The sequence below is a fragment of the Homo sapiens genome, chromosome 6, assembly GCF_000001405.40.
Source record: "Homo sapiens chromosome 6, GRCh38.p14 Primary Assembly".
Taxonomy (NCBI): Eukaryota; Metazoa; Chordata; class Mammalia; order Primates; family Hominidae; genus Homo; species Homo sapiens.
In genome coordinates this window covers 137,438,878-137,455,265 of record NC_000006.12, presented here as the reverse complement: position 1 = coordinate 137,455,265, position 16,388 = coordinate 137,438,878, and the positions used below count along the sequence as shown (strand labels likewise).

The following is a 16,388-nucleotide window of genomic DNA, read 5'->3' as shown; positions in this document are numbered from 1 at the left end:
AGAGTAAAGCAGTTTGCCCTCCTCAGTGTGGGTAGGTGCTATCCAATCCCTTAAGGGCTGGAACACAACAAAAAGGCAGAGGAAGGAACAATTTGCTCTCTGCTTGATAGTGTAAGCTGGGACATTGAGCTTCTTCTGCCATTGAACTGGGACTTTTATCATCTATGTTCCTTGTTCTCAGGCCTTTGGACTTGGACTGGAACTACACCACTGGCTTTCTTGGGTCTTCATCTTACATATGGTAGACTTCTCAGCCTTCGTAATTGTGTGAACAAATACCTTATAATAAATCCCTTTCCTTCTCTCTCCACACACACACACACACACACACACACACACACACACACACACACATTTAGATAGATAGATAGGTAGATAGATAGATAGATAGATAGATAGATAGATAGATAGATAGATGATAGATGATAGATAGATAATCCTTCTGGTTCTGTCTTTCTGGAGAACCCTGACAAATACATTACTGACCTTAAACTATTCTTCAAAAAGTAAAACTCTTTAGTCAGCCAAATCTAACACCATGTTTATTAGTTGGCTGAATGTTTGAGACAGAATCATGGCGTACCTCCATGAAAATAGTAATGAATACCTCAGCATGATGGCAATTGTTATTCATGATGTCTCTACCAATATTTTAATAAGAAAATTGGGAAGGTTCACACAGACCTGCTCTACAGTGTAACTTACTAGCTAGCAAGACCCTTGACAAATATGACTACATTTTAGAATATAACATGAAGGATGAGTGGAATAAACTATTATAGTATCAGTCTGGTATTAGTTGGCTCTTTAGAATGTTCCTGAATTATTGTCTTTGGTTTACTCTATAGTTCAAAGTATACCACTGGGTGTCCAATTGAGTGACATAGATTTTAAGTTTATTTTCAAATTAAGAAGCATTTATCAAAATGGAATCTCCTTGATGCCAAATATACTAAAAAGTTATCTAGATGTTTCAAAATCATAGCAAAAGAAAAAAGGAAATGAGAGAGAACAAAGCCAAAGATGGCAACAATAATGTTCTTGGATGATGTTTTTGAATACTTTATTGGATCATGGCTGGATTACTCTCCTGCTAAAAGAACTGTCAATGTAGTCTTCCAATTAATATTCCAGCATACCATTTGTATATTTTGTCATAGCCTGAAATTTAATAAATTACACACAGAAGCAATACAATACAGCAATACAAACCTGTTGTGACATGGTTACCCTTGAGGCCGGTGATATCCCTTCTTCCTCCTCACACCTGTATTGTGATAAAGAAGTTCCACTCTTTAAAGAAAATGTGCTCCATATACAGCATGGAATATTATGCAGCCATAAAAAAGAACAAAATAAAATCATGTCCTTTGCAGGGACATGGATGGAGCTGGAGGCCATTATCCTTAGCAAACTAACACAGGAACAGAAAATCAAATACATGTTCTCACTTGTAAGTGGGAGCTAAATGATGAGAATACATGGATACATAGAGGGGAGCAGCACACACTGGGTCCTTTTGGAGGGTGGCTGGTGGGAGGAGGGAGAGGATCAAGGAAAGTAACTAATGGGTACTAGGCTTCATAGCTGAGTATTTAAAGAATCTGTACAACAAACCCCCATGATACAAGTTTATCTATGTAACAAACCTGCACTTGTACCCCTGAACTTAATATAAAAGTTAAAAAAAAAGAAAAGAAATTCCACTCTATCAGGAAGCCAAAACCTTCAATAGCTTAAGCTTATTCTCTGGCAAGTAAATTTTTATCTGCTCATTTAAATCGTAGAGTGGATTGAGGCACTTACCTTATTAACTCAAGAATAAAGAAATTAAAGAAATACACAATCTAGTAGAAAAAAGTGATGAAAAAATTCTCACGTAAAACAAATCCATGCATATTGGGTTTTGCCATGTTGGTTTTGAACTCCTGGGCCTCAGCCTCCCAAAGTGCTGGGATTACAGGCGAAAATGACATTATCATCGTAACTACTAGCATATTGGTAAAGACAGATGAATTCATGTGGGAAATACAACATGAGAATGATTAATAATTACAGTGAAATATTGATAAAGCTTACAATGTAGAGAGAAGATTAAAAATAGCTTTGAAAGTTTGAATTACTCTTTTACTGAATACTGAATACTAAGTTCTATGTCAGTCTACGTTACTTAACACATGTCGTAATTGCTAATATTTATTAAGCGCTTACAATGCGACAGGCTGACACTGACAGGCTATGGCAGACTAAGCACTTCACATTATGAACTCATGGATAACGGTACTATTATTTCCCCATTATTAATTTCCAAGACATCTTCATTTTACAGATGAGGACATTGAGACACAACGCTATTAAGTGGTAGAGGCAGAATGTAAACCCAGGTTGTCTTATTCAATGGTGCATGTTCTTAGCCATTTGAAAATATTACCTCTTGAGTAAATTTTCATTATATATTTATTCATCAAGTGAACGAATGAATCAATCTCTGTCCTTTTCATAAGATTACTGCCCTTACAAAAGGTCAGAGAAGCTAGCTGCCTCCCAGTGCTTGCTTCTCTTTGCAAGATGAATTTGTAATCTTGTGGTTATTCAGAATTATTTGTCATTCTTAAGCCAAACGCTATAAAGGGGAATAGTATTTTTGTCTTTGAGACTTGATACCCTTTATAATTAACATGACTACATATAGGGATACTAATTAGATTGCTATAAAACCGACGGCAATGCCAATGAGCATACGTATTGATACTTAATAGCATGGAATGACAGAAACTAATGAGTCAGAATGATTCCCAACGCAGAGAACGTAGAGCTATTGAAAAACTTAATCAAGTAAATGAGGTACTGATTAAGCCATTGTTATAAAGTTTGGAATGATTCATTTACATTAATCTAACTTCTCATTTTTTTTGTAATATATAGAATAATTTTGTGTTTAGTTTTAAAAAAATTTCATTTTTTTACTTATGATTTTTTCATTTTTATAAGCGAGGTGGAAAGAAGACCCTTGTGAAGTAAATTTTTTTGGCATTCACTAAAAAAACTGTAAAACTTAAGGTTTATTTTATTAAGACTGGGAGCCAGATGTTCTTGGCTGCTTACCAGCGTTCCAAGTTATGTTTATTCATAGAAGTTTAATACCAGGAAGAGCAATCAAGTGACTCATGAGGTGGGAGTTCTGAGTTAGCAATATTCTTAAATGTAAATTAGGCAGTTTATTTATTGGAAAATAAGAAATCTTAAAATACTTAAATTAAAAATTAAAACATAGGCCAGGTGCAGTGGCTCACGCCTGTAATCCTAGCACTTTGGGAGGCTGAGGTGGACGGATCACTTGAGGTCAGGAGTTCAAGACCAGCCTGGCCAGCATGTTGAATCCCAGTCACTACTAAAAATACAAAAATTAGCCAGGCGGTGGCATATGCCTGTAATCCCAGTGACTCTGGAGGCTGAGGCAGGAGAATCGTTTGAGCCTGGGAGGCAGAAGTTAGAGTGAGCTGAGATCGCGCCACTGCACTCCAGCCTGGGCAACAGAGCAAGACTCCATCTCAAAAAAAAAATTATACAAGTAGACATTAGGCAAACACTGAGAGTAAAGTAAATATGGAAATAACATTTCATTTGGTGCCTTTATCTCAAAGCATATCTTTAAAGTAACTACTAGCTTAAATCCTTTAACTAAACTTGTCTTTTTTTTTAGTCATTTCCACCAAGAAATAAAAAGTCTACTTTTATTTAAGTTATTTAGATTTTCAACAAAAGTTTTTTGAATAATTGGATGATTCTTTAATATTCAAAAAGGTTAAAAAACTGCTCAAAATTAAATATTAATGAATGAAATAGTAGTTTGAGTTTATAACATCAAGTAATTATCCTGATAGTTTTTTTTTTGTCACTATTTAGAAGCTTGTGTAGTAGACACTAACATTAACTTGTAGGTACATGTTTGTATTTTACTCTCTGTCAGCTTTAAACAGTTTAAGTAGAAGTATAATTTTTAAAAAATGATCATATAAAGTGTTTTTAAAGTTCTGAATATAAAGTTAATCTATATATTTAGAAAACTAAATGACACAGAAATATTTTTATTTATTTCATTTTTTTTCTTTTTTTTGGAGACAAGGTCTCACTCTTTCACCCAGGCTGGAGTGCAGTGGTACAAACACAGCTCCCTGCAGTCTCAACCTCCTGGGCTCAAACGATCCTCCCACCTCAGCCTCCCAAGTATCTGGGACTACAGGTGCACACCACCACATCCAGCTAATTTTTGTATCTTTGTAGAGACAGGGTTTTGCCATGTTGGTCTTGAATTCCTGGGCCTCAGCCTCCCAAAGTGCTGGGATTACAGGTGAGAATGACATTATCACTGTGGGAAAGAAACAAGAGCAGAATTCAGGGTTGCCAAGGTTTCTAGGATTTAAGGCAGAGTCCCTTATAGGAAGGAGCTGCACATAAGGAGTCTCAAATATGCATTCAGCTACACATGCCCAGAGCTAGATTCTGGCAGAACTAGCAGGGTATAGCTACATGAGGTTGGAGTGCTTGGCAGAGATTTTAGGGGCCTCAAAGTTGCAGGAGATTTTGAAGTTTGGGCTCAGAAGAGAGAGACCTAGGTAAACACCTTGTACAAGAGTAATGCTTCTAGAAGAGAGAGCAAAACTAATATAGAACCTTCCTAGTAAAGGCTGACAACAATATCTGACAGATGAAGATAATAAAACAATAATTTAATTGCCTGTCAAATTTTAAAAATTATAATACTCCTTATAGGAAGGTGAAATAATCTAGAGTCTCTACAATGTATCATTCAAATTCCCTAGTGTACAATCCTAAAAATAGAAAAATTCAAAGAAACAGGAAAATTTACTAATAATGAAGACATAAAATAGAAGTAGACACAGAAATGACCAAGATATTGGAGTTAACAGAGAAGGACTGGAAAATATTTGTGATTAATATGTTAAAGAAAATAGAGTAAAATATGGACAAAATGAATAAGTGTTGGAGGATTTCAAGAGAAAATTAGAATATATTAAAAACCAGGCTGGGCGTGGTGGCTTACCCCTGTAACCCCAGCACTTTGGGAGGCTGAAGCGGGCGGATTGCCTGAGGTCAGGAGTTTGAGACCAGCCTGACCAAAATGGTGAAACCTCGTCTCTACTAAAAATACAAAAATTAGCCAGGCATGGTAGCAGGCACCTGTAATCCCAGCTACTTGGGAGGCTGAGGCAGGAAAATCGCTTGAACCCGGGAGGCAGAGGTTGCAGTGAGCTGAGACCGGGCCATTGCACTCCAGCATGGGCAACAAGAGCGAAACTCTGTCTCCAAAAAACAAACAAACAAACAAAAACCAAATAAGTATCCCAAAACTTAAAATGCAGTATATTTAATTAAGACCTTATTATTTGAGTTTTAACAGTAGACTGGAGAAAACTGAGGACAGAAAGAACAAGAAGATAATCAACAGAAATTATTTAACGAAAGTATTGAAAGGAGAAAATAAAGAAATTGACAAAACAGAACAAATAGAGTGTAAGAAACATGAGAGGTGCTAAAAATGTCTAACATGTAATTAGAGTCCCAATAGAAAAGAAGACAGAAAATAGAATCAAAGCAATAGTTGAAAAATGACTTGAGAATGGTGACATAATTGAATGGACAGATGTAAAAAAAATTTTTTAACAACTGCCAAGTAAGAAGGATTCAAAGAGAACCATATCAGGCATATTATAGCCAAAGAAAAACTCTTCAAATAGATACAGAATAAAAATGACTTATTACCTTCAAAGCCACAAGATAAGATTGATAGCAGACTCCTCATCAGGAATTCTGGAAGCCGTAAGACAAAGGAAAGACTTCTTTAAAGTGCTGAAAGAGAAAAACCTGCAATCTTAGAAAAGGATTTTTTCTTCCAAGAAAGAAAGATCTTTTTGGATCACCTGGTTAGGGGAAAGCTATGTGCCATGTCATGAATATGCTCCAATTTTCTTATGAAGAGGCCCATGTGGAAAAGAATGGAAGCCTCTGGCCAACAGCCAGTAAGGACTGAGGCCTTTTTGCAGCAGTCATGAAGATCCTCCAGCCCCAGCGAAACCTTTGGATGACGATTGCCTTGGCTGAAAGCTTGGTTGCAACTTATAAGAGACCCTGAGCCATATCACTGAACTTTCAAATTTCTGACTCACAGAAAATATGAGATAATAAATGCTCATAATTTTTAAACCAAAAAACATAATACACACATGCACAAAATCAACGTTTTTTTTAGAAAAAAAATGATAAAATTGGTCATCAGTAGACCTGTACTTCAAGAAATACTAAAAGAGAGTTTTTCTGGGTGAGAAAAATGAGCATTATATATTCTAGACCTAAAAATGCCTCTATACTTTATTTGGGAAGATTAAATTTGTAAATTAAGCATAAAGCTTTAAGATGTTGATTTATCTAGGCAGAGAATTCCAGATGACTACTATTGACCAGTGAAGTGACAGATATTACAGTCACATCAGTCTTGTTTTCCATCTAAATACTGAACATGTATCCCAACATCTGGACTGCTGTCTTTGTCATAACTATTTTTTATTTGCCTCGCAATTAAGCACATACAGCAGACTAGAAGGTTATAGTCAACTCTTGATTATTCTCAAGTTATCGGCCTAATTTGATTTACCCATGTTAAATCTTTCTGTAACATTCTGTTGACACAGAAATGTGCCGTGATTATAACCTACAGTCCTTGAGTAGGGGATATGTTTACTTACTTAAAAAAAAAAATGTGAGTGTTCATGAGAAGGTAAGCCAGAGGGAAATAAGTTTTACAGGAAGATAGCTCTGTAGTCTTTTGCCTGCAGGAAGTATCCAGGAAAAAGAGGGCAAAATACATTGCTGAAAACTTTTCAATGCATTGTTATTTAAGATCTCACCATGGTACTTCATTATTTGGTATTAAATATTAATCCCAAGAACAATAAAACTATCCACAGTTTTAATTTAATATTATAAACGTTTCTGTTTTTCCACATGAAGGTGAATAACTGAATGTGATCATGTACATACATCATCTTCGTTTGTCTCTTCGTTATTTCTGGTCTCCAGATATTCAGGGATCGAAGAAATAATCTACAATTTAATGAGTTGAGTCTATTCCAAGAATAAGAATCAATAAGACAATTTTACATTTATTTTGTAGATGTGTCCATGAAGAAAAGTTAGAGTTATCCTTTCCTCCTCTATCCCCTCAGTTGCCTCACTTTGTTCATTTGTTCCTCCATCAAGCACCCAAAACTGATTTACTGTGCTGATTTCTCAAGATTCTTCACCGTGGAGTCCCACTTGGGTCTGTTCCTCCCTCATAAGTTCCCCTATACTATACTTATCCTTCAATCATCTGATCAAAGAACTATTTCTGTTATCTATAGACTAACTAGGCCCTGAAAAAAAATCACTTAATGTGTTGCTTCTCCCAACTAAAATATAAATTAGCAAAGACTTTCTTTAGACCATTTATTAGCCCTCAGTAATAGAGGGACTTTCCAAAGATAATATAGTAGTGAGAAAGATATTAGGGAACAAATGGGTGTTTGGGGGCTTTGAATCACACAGGTTAATGACATTTTTTCTAAGTGAATGGAACGTCTGAAAATTTTTGTATTACCAATGAAAAAAGAAATTAAAATTAAGAAAATAATATTTTACATCCAAAAATATGAAATATATGTAAATAAACTAAACAAAATATGTTCACAAGCTGCACCTAAAACTATATAATTTTAAAATATCACTGAAAGCAAATAAAATAAATGGAGAGCTACATAAAGTTTATGAATTAGAAGACTCATTGTTATGATGTCAATTCTATCCAAATCGATTTACAGGTTCAACGTCATCCTAATCAATATCTGTACAGAATTTCCTTTGTAAAAATTGACAAGCTCATTCTAAGATGTATACGGAAATGCAAAGGACTTAGAATAACCAAAACAAATTTGAACGAGAATGAAGTGCAAGGCTAATACTATCTGATTTCAAGAATTATTCTAAAGCTAGAGTAATAAGAACAGTTTGAAGTGCCAAGGCAATTTGATCGTAAAAGGATGGACTTTTCCCACATGAAAAAAATAAATTTTAATGGTCACCTCACATCATACACAAAAACTAACTCTAATGTATTATATACCTGAATGTAAGAGCTAAAACTATGGAACTGCTTGAAGAAAACACAGGAGGAAATCTTTGTGCCCTTGAATTAATTACCAATTTTTATTTTTGAAAAATCAGCTGACATTTCAAATTGGACTGCACTGAATCTGTAGATCAATTGGGCAGAAATGGCATCTTAATAATGTTTACTCTTCCAATCTATGATCTCACTATGTCTTCATTTACTTTACTTCTTCAGTAGAACACAAAACGGACAGATCATTTAGAAAAATGGATAAATCGAACTGCATCAAAATTTAGAACATTTGTTATTCTAAAAACACGATTAAGAAAATGAAAAGACAAACCAAATACTAGGAGAAAATATTGGCAGAATACATATATGATAAAGAACTTCTCTTCATAATATATAAAGAATTATTACTACTCAATTACAAGAAGACAAACAACTGAAATTTTTAAATGGGCAAAAGTTTGAATAGACACTTCACCAAAAAAGATATATAGTTGACTACATGAAAAAATGTTCCACATAAGTAGTCTTCAGGCAAATTTAAATTAAAACCATCATGAGACACTACTACACACTTACACTACAATGGCTGAAATAAAAAATTCTGACAATAAGTAATAAGTGTTGGTGAGGATGTGAAGCAACTGGAATTCTGATAACATTTCTTGTGGAAAGGTACAATAGTACAACCAGTGGAAACTAGTTTGGCACTTTCTTATCATGTCAAATATATACTTGTCACATGACCCAGCAATTCTACTCCTAGATATTTACCCAATCTGAACAGGAACACATGTCCACACAAAGCTTAGTATGCACATGTTCATAGTAGCTTTATTCATTAATATCTCCAAACTGGAAACACCAAGTGTCCATCATATGGTGATTGTATAAGTTGCAATATATTCAAATAAAGAAGTATTATTCAATAGTAAAAGAAATCTGAAGAGCAGTATATTAAATAAAAGGAGTTGGACACAAAGACTACATGCTCTATTAATCATTTGTGTGAATTTCTAGAACAGATAAAACTATAAAAAATAGAAAACAGATCAGTGGCTGACAGGGAGTGGGGGTGAAAAGACGGGATACACTGAAAAGTGGTATGAAGAAATGTTCAGGGTTATAGGAATGTTCTATATCTTGATGATGATTTGTAAAAAGACATTAAATGTAAAAGACATTCGATGTTTGTTTGTTTTGTTTTGAGACAGAATCTCACTCTGTCACCCAGGCTGGAGTGCAGTGGTACCATCTTGGCTCACAGCAACCTGAGCCTCCTGGGTTCAAGTGATTCTCTTGCCTCAGCCTCCCAAGTATATGGGATTACAGGCGTAAGCCACCTCACCCAGCTAATTGTTGTAATTTTAGTAGAGATGGGGCGTTTCTCCGTGTTGGCCAGGCTGGTCTCGACCTCCTGACCTCAGGTGATCCACTCGCCTTGGCCTCCCAAAGTGCTGGGATTATAGACATGAGCCACCGCATTGGGCCATAAAAGACATTAAATATTGAAAGACATTAAATACCTACTTAAATGGAGGTAAATTTTACTGTATATAAATTATCTCAATAAAGAAAAAACTTTACAGACAGAATAAATTGTTGGGAAAAGTATGTATAACTGATGAATCTTTGAGGACTAGAGAGTGTGTTTAAGATATGGAATGTAATGGCTAGGATGGCCTGGAGAGGATGGTTAGGGTCAGGTTGCAAAGACGTTTGAACTTTTTTCTGTAGTAGCCGGTGAGAAACCAATGGTAATTATGAAAGAGTATTATAAGCCTAGGAATGACATGACCATATATTTATATTTGACTGTGGTTAAAGTATACATAATGTAAAACTTATCATTTCAACCCCTTTTAAGTGGCATTAAATAAATTCACATTGTTCTGCAACCATCACCACCATCTATCTCCAGAACTTACTCATCTTCCCCACGTGAAACTTCTACATCTGCTTTTTTTTTTTTTTTTTTTTGTAATGAAGTTTGACGGTAGTATAGGGATTGTGTTAAGTAGGGGGATCATAGATACAGACCAGTTTGGAAGTTTATATGAGAGCTGGGACAATGAGTAATGAGCATTGGTACAGGGTAACAAATAATCAGATAAGGGGAGGAGAATGAGACATATTTTTGAGGTGGAATTGACATGATGTTGCTACTGATAGTAGTGAATAAAGAAGCAGCAGTGGTCAAAGATATCTGTGATATTTTTAATCATAGGTTGGACAACTGGGTAGAAGGCAGAGTCATTAAGTCAGATACTCAGAATGCAGAAAGATGGGTAATAGGATAAAAATAATGAGTGTAGGATACACTGAATTTCCGGGGCCTTAAAGCCATCAAGGTAGAGAGGCCATCTAGGTAGAGAGGTAAAGGATGATGATGGATTTAAGAGCCATTACCATAAATACGATGGATTGGATCTTTTGGAGGATTCTATCATTATTTAATATATGGAAATGGATATAAATTAAGAAAAATAACAACAAAAAAAGAAATATAATGAAGGAGGGGCTTTAAGGTGGCTGACTAGAGGCATCTAGTCCTCACCTCTTTCACAAAGAAGAACCAAAATAGTCAGTAGATAATCACATTTCAAATAGATCAACTAAGAGAAAGCATGTAATTCAACAGGGAAGTGACAGGAAACACCAAAATCAGGGAAGGAGAGAGATGTAAGGCAGTCTCCACAGCCTGGAGCAGCTGGGAGCTTGGAAAAGCTCCCTAATGTAAGGGAAAGGTAAGTGGGTGACTCCCAGTGGTCCACATTTCCACCATAGACTCCTGAGATTCTAGCCACGGGAGAGCCTCTTGATCACATTGGCCCTAAGACTAACACAGCCACCACCACCACCAGTGAAAACTGCTTAGGTCCTGGAGAGTTGTTCAACCAATGCTACTGCCATTAGTCATGCCAGAGCTCTGACCAGGGACCTGAGAACCTGCCCATTTTCCCAGCCCACCACTGCCATTCCCAGTACCCAAGTCAGCCACTTGGAGGCCCAAGAATTGACCTATCTAGACCAGCTAACACTGGTGCCAGCACATGGGACCCTGGGGCCCAAGGACAGACATTCTCAGCCTGCTGCTGCCACCACTAAATCCCAAAGACTGGGCCACCTGGCATTCCAGTCACTAGCAAAATATTATCACAGGCCTCCACTAACAACCACACCCCAAACCACCAAGAAAATCATAGACATCACTAATGCAGTTTATGGCTGAATAAATTGTGCAGAGACTACAATACTACAGGCAACCAGAATAAAAGCCAAAGTGCCTTACCCAGCCACACCATAGACACATCTTCAGGGAAAAGTCCTCCCCTGTGAAAGCAAATTCAAAAAATTAGAAACAACTGTTACACCAGTCATGCAGATATCAACATCAGAACACAGGAAACATGAAAAAGCAAGAAAATATGATACCTCCAAAGAAACAAAATAATTCTCCAGTAACAGATTTCTATCAAAAAGAAATTTATAAAATCCCAGAAAAATTTCAAAATAATCATATTAAAGAAGCTTGGTGAGATACAAGAGAATTCCAAAAAAAAGTACAAAGAAATCAGAAAAACAATTCAGGGTATGAATGAGAAATTTATCTAAGAGATAAATATCATTAACAAACAAACAAACAAATAGGAATTCTGGACCTGAAGCATTCATTGAATGAAGTACAAAATACATTCAATAGCTGTAACAACAGATTAGACCAAGTGAAGAAAGAATCTCAGAACTTGAAGACGGGTCTTTTGAAATAAACCGTTCAGACAAAAAAATTTTAAAGAATAAAGAACAATGAGCAAAGCCTATGTGACATAAGGGGTACCATAAAGTGACCCAATTTTCAAATTCTCTGTGTCTCAGAAGGTAAAGAGAAAACAAAAGAGTTGGAAAACCTATTTAATGAAATAATAGATGAAAACTTCCCCAAGTCTAGCAAGATATTTATACATTCACATACAGGAGGCTCAGAGATCCCCAGATAGATACAATTCAAAAAGATCTTTTCTATGGCACATTACAGTAAAACTGTTAAAAATAAAAGACAAAAAGAATTATAAAAACAGCAAGAAAAAAAGAAAGTCTAGTCACTTGTAAAGAAACCTCCAACAGGCTAACAGTAAATTTCTCAGCAGAAAACTCACCAGGACAAGAGAGAATGGGATGATATATTTAAAGTGTTAAAAGGAAAAACTGTCAGCCGAGGATACCATACACAGTAAAATGAAGAAGAAATAAAGTCTTTCCCAAACAAGCAAAAGCTGAAGCAATTTATCATTACGAGACTGGCCCTAATGGTATCTATCATCATGAAAATGCATGAAAATATAAAAACCACTGGTGGAGCAAACACAGAAACAAGGAATAGACTCAAATATTACCACTACAAAAAGCCACCAAGCCACAATAATGAACAATCAGAGAGTAAGAAATGAACAATACAAACCCAAAATCAAATAATAGAAGGATAGCCCCTCACATATCAGTAATACCTTGAATATAACTGGATTAAACTTTTTCACTTAAAAGATATAGACTGGTTGAGTGGATTTTAAACTATATGCTGCCTACAAGATATTCATCTCACCTGCAAAGACACATATAGACTGAAAGTAAAGAGATGGAAAAATATATTCCATGCAAATAGAAACCGAAAGTTAGCAGGAGTATCTATACTTATATCAGATAAAGCAGACTTTAAGTCAAAAACAGTAAAAAGAGACAGTTATTATATAATGATAAAGGGATCAATTCAACAAGAGTTGAACATATATGCACCCAACACCAGAGCACCCAGATATATAAGGCAAATATTATTAGATCTAAAGAGAGAGATCGACTCCAATACAATAATAATTGGAGACTTTAACAACCCACTCTCAGTATTATACAGATCATCCAGGCAGAAAATCAACGAAGAAACACTGAATTTAAACTGCGCATTACACCAAATGGACCTAACAGACACTTACGGAACACATTGTCCAGTAGCTACAAAGTAGGCATTCTTCTAATCAGCACATGAAACATTCTCCAGAATAGATCACGTGTTACAACACAAAACAAATCTCAATAAATATTTTAAAAATGAAAATCCTATCAAGTATCTTCTCAGACCACAATAGAATAAAACTAGAAATCAATAACAAGAGGAACACTGAAAAGTGTACAAATGCATAAAAATTAAGCAACAAGCTTCTGAATGAATGAACACTGGGCCAAGAAGAAATTAAGCAGGAAATAAAAAAATTTATTGAAATGAGAAAACTGAAGCACCACATACCAAAACCTAAGCAATACAGCCAAAAGAGCACTAAGAGGGAAGTTTATAGCAGTAAACGCCTACATCAAAAATATGAAAAGATTTCAAATAAACAATCTAACAATGCACCTCAGGGAACTAGAAAGGCAAGAACAAACCAAATCCAAAATTAGTAGAAATAAAAAAATAATAAAGATCAGAGCAGAACTAAATGACATAAAGACTGAAAAACTATAAACAATCAACAAAAGAAATAGTTGATTTTTAGCAAAGATTAACAAAATCAATAAATCACTTGCTGGATTAACCAAGAAAAAAGAAAATAGACCAAAATAAATAAAATCAGAAATGAAAAAGACATTACAGCTGATACCACAGACATATGAAAGATAATCAGACTATTAAGAAGAACTATACACTAATGCATTGGAAATCCTAGAGGAAGTGGATAAATTCTTGAATACCTACAGCCTACCAAGATTGAATCAAGAAGAAATAGAAATAGAAAACTTGAACACACAAATAATGAGTAATGAGATTGAATTATTACTAAAAAGTATCCCAAGAAAAAGAGTCCAGATTATTTCACTGCCAAATTCTACCAGGGTTACAAACAAGCACTAACACCAATTCTCCTCAAACTATTCCAAAAAATTGAAGAAGGAGGAATGTTCCATAACTCATTCTATGAGGCCAGCATTACCCTGATACCAAAACCAGATAAAGACACAACAAACAACAAAACTAGAGATTGATGTCCCTGATGAACACAGATGCAAAAATTCTCAACAAAATGCTAACAAAATAAATCCAGCAGCACATCAAAATATTGATGTCATGTTCAAGTGGGATTTATTCCAGGGATGCAAGGATGGTTTAACATATTGAAATCAATAGGCCGGGTGCAGTGGCTCACTCCTGTAATCCCAACATTTTGGGAGGCCGAGGTGGGTGGATCACCTGAGGTCAGGAGTTCAAGACCAGCCTGGCCAACATGGTGAAACCCCATCTCTACTAAAAGTACAAAATTAGCAGGATGTGGAGGCTCACGCCTGTAGTCCCAGCTCCTCAGGAGGCTGAGGCAGAAGAATCGCTTGAACCCGGGAGGCAGAGGCTGCAGTGAGCCAAGATCATGCCACTGAACTCCATCCTGGGCAAGACAGAGTGAGACTCCATCTCAAAAAAAAAAAAAAAAAACCACAATAAATATGCTATATCACATCAACAGAATGAAGGACAAAAACCATGTAATCATCTCAATAGACACATGAAAAGCTTTGATAAAATTCAACGTCTCTTCATGATAAAAACTCTTAACAAACTAGACACAGAAGGAACATACATCAAAATAATAAAGTCCAAATATGGCCTTTATGTGACAGACCCACAGGCAGCATCATACTGTATGGGGAAAAGCTGAAAGCCTTTCCTTTAAAAACTGGAACAAGACAAGAATGCCCACATTTACCACTCCTATTCAGCATAGTAATGGAAGCCCTAGCCTAAGCAACCAGGCAAGAATAAGAAATAAAAGGCATCTAAAGTAGAAAAGAGAAAGTCAAATTATCCCTCTTTGCTGATAATATGATCTTATAACTACAAAAACCTAAAGATTCCCTTAAAAAACTCTTAAATCCCATAAATAAATTCAGTAAATTTATAGGATACACAATCAACATACAAAAATAGTACAGTGTTATTGGTGTACTTTTTCTATACACCAATAATGAACTAGCTGAGAAAGAAATCAAGAAGGCAATCCCATTTACAATAGCTACAAAAAATAGCTGGGAATAAATTTCACCAAGGAAGTAAAAGATCTATACAATAAAAACTATAAAACACTGAAGAAAGAAATAGGAGAGGACACACACAAAATGGAAAGATGAGAGGAGGTTGTAAAGCCTGTGACCCCTAGTTCAGGACACAATAAAGGGAAGACAAGGGTGAGGTGTATGGGGGGTTGTGGAAAGGAATGTGTGGAGATTCGAAGCTGCTGGAAGGCAAGGTGGGCCTAGGGCAGGGCAGGGTGGGGTAAGGCTGTGAAAGTTGCTTTCTGAGAGCAAATGGCCAGAGTAGAATGCCAGCTTCTGAGAGGGCACCTGGGGAAAGTGCACTGACACACACCCTGCATTTGGGAGGCAGGCTTTCCTTGGGCCTGATCCATATGGCCTGTGCCCAGTGAAATTTTGGCACAAAGACAGGATAAGCTACCCCAGGGATGGATTGCCTGTGGGAGGCATAGGAGATGACTTGAGTTTGGGGGCCAGGTGACTGAAATTTAAGTTGCATTCCACTAGAAGTAGGACAGTGAGATCTAAGAGAGAGATGATGATGAATTTTGTTTTGTATCTATTGATTTTAAGTACAGAACTGAGGTATTATTGCAGTGCAGTAAAGATTAAGTGAACCAGTTCTGGGCAAAAATGCCTAGGCTCAAGCGTTGGTTCCCTTTCTGACTAAATGTGTGAGTTTGGGCTACTTATTTAACTTTCATATATAAGATGAAGATAATAATAGTGCCATCCTCAGAGTTTTGTTTAAGATGGAACGAGTTAATACACAAAGTTAAAGTGCTTAGAACTGTTGGGCTCAGTAAAATTTAAATTGGATTATTTGTAGATAGTAGAACATCAGCTGGCAGTATCCAGTCAACAACTGGCGATACGGCACTGGAGTTTAGTGTAGAAATTAATGATGGAAATATGAACTGTTTTCATATAGCAATAGTAGTAGCCACACATTAGAAGAAATGACCAGTAAAATCAAAATGACGAAAAGGAGAAGCAGACCAAGGCTAGAACTTGGAAGAGAGAACTTAAGTTTCCATTTTCAGTGTCATCACAGTTTAATACTATTTTTTCCTCACAAATTAATAGGTGCATCAGTTGCCATGTTTGTCTCTAAAAAGTGATTTAATGTTGAGTTATTTTGTAT

The 16,388-nt window shown here is 35.9% G+C and overlaps 1 long non-coding RNA gene across 4 annotated transcripts in view; it reads right to left on the bottom strand.

Annotated features, from left to right (window-relative positions):
• Positions 1-4,319: 4,319 nt before the first annotated feature.
• The window catches only part of LOC102723633 (uncharacterized), a 35,846-nt gene continuing 23,777 nt past the window's right edge, over positions 4,320-16,388 (bottom strand). For all 4 annotated transcript variants that reach the window (XR_943047.1, XR_943053.1, XR_943044.2 and 1 more), the window contains 2 exons: positions 5,785-5,871; positions 4,320-4,369 (listed from right to left, as the gene is read on the bottom strand). This is a non-coding gene — a long non-coding RNA (uncharacterized LOC102723633). The remainder of the gene's footprint in view (positions 4,370-5,784; positions 5,872-16,388) is intronic.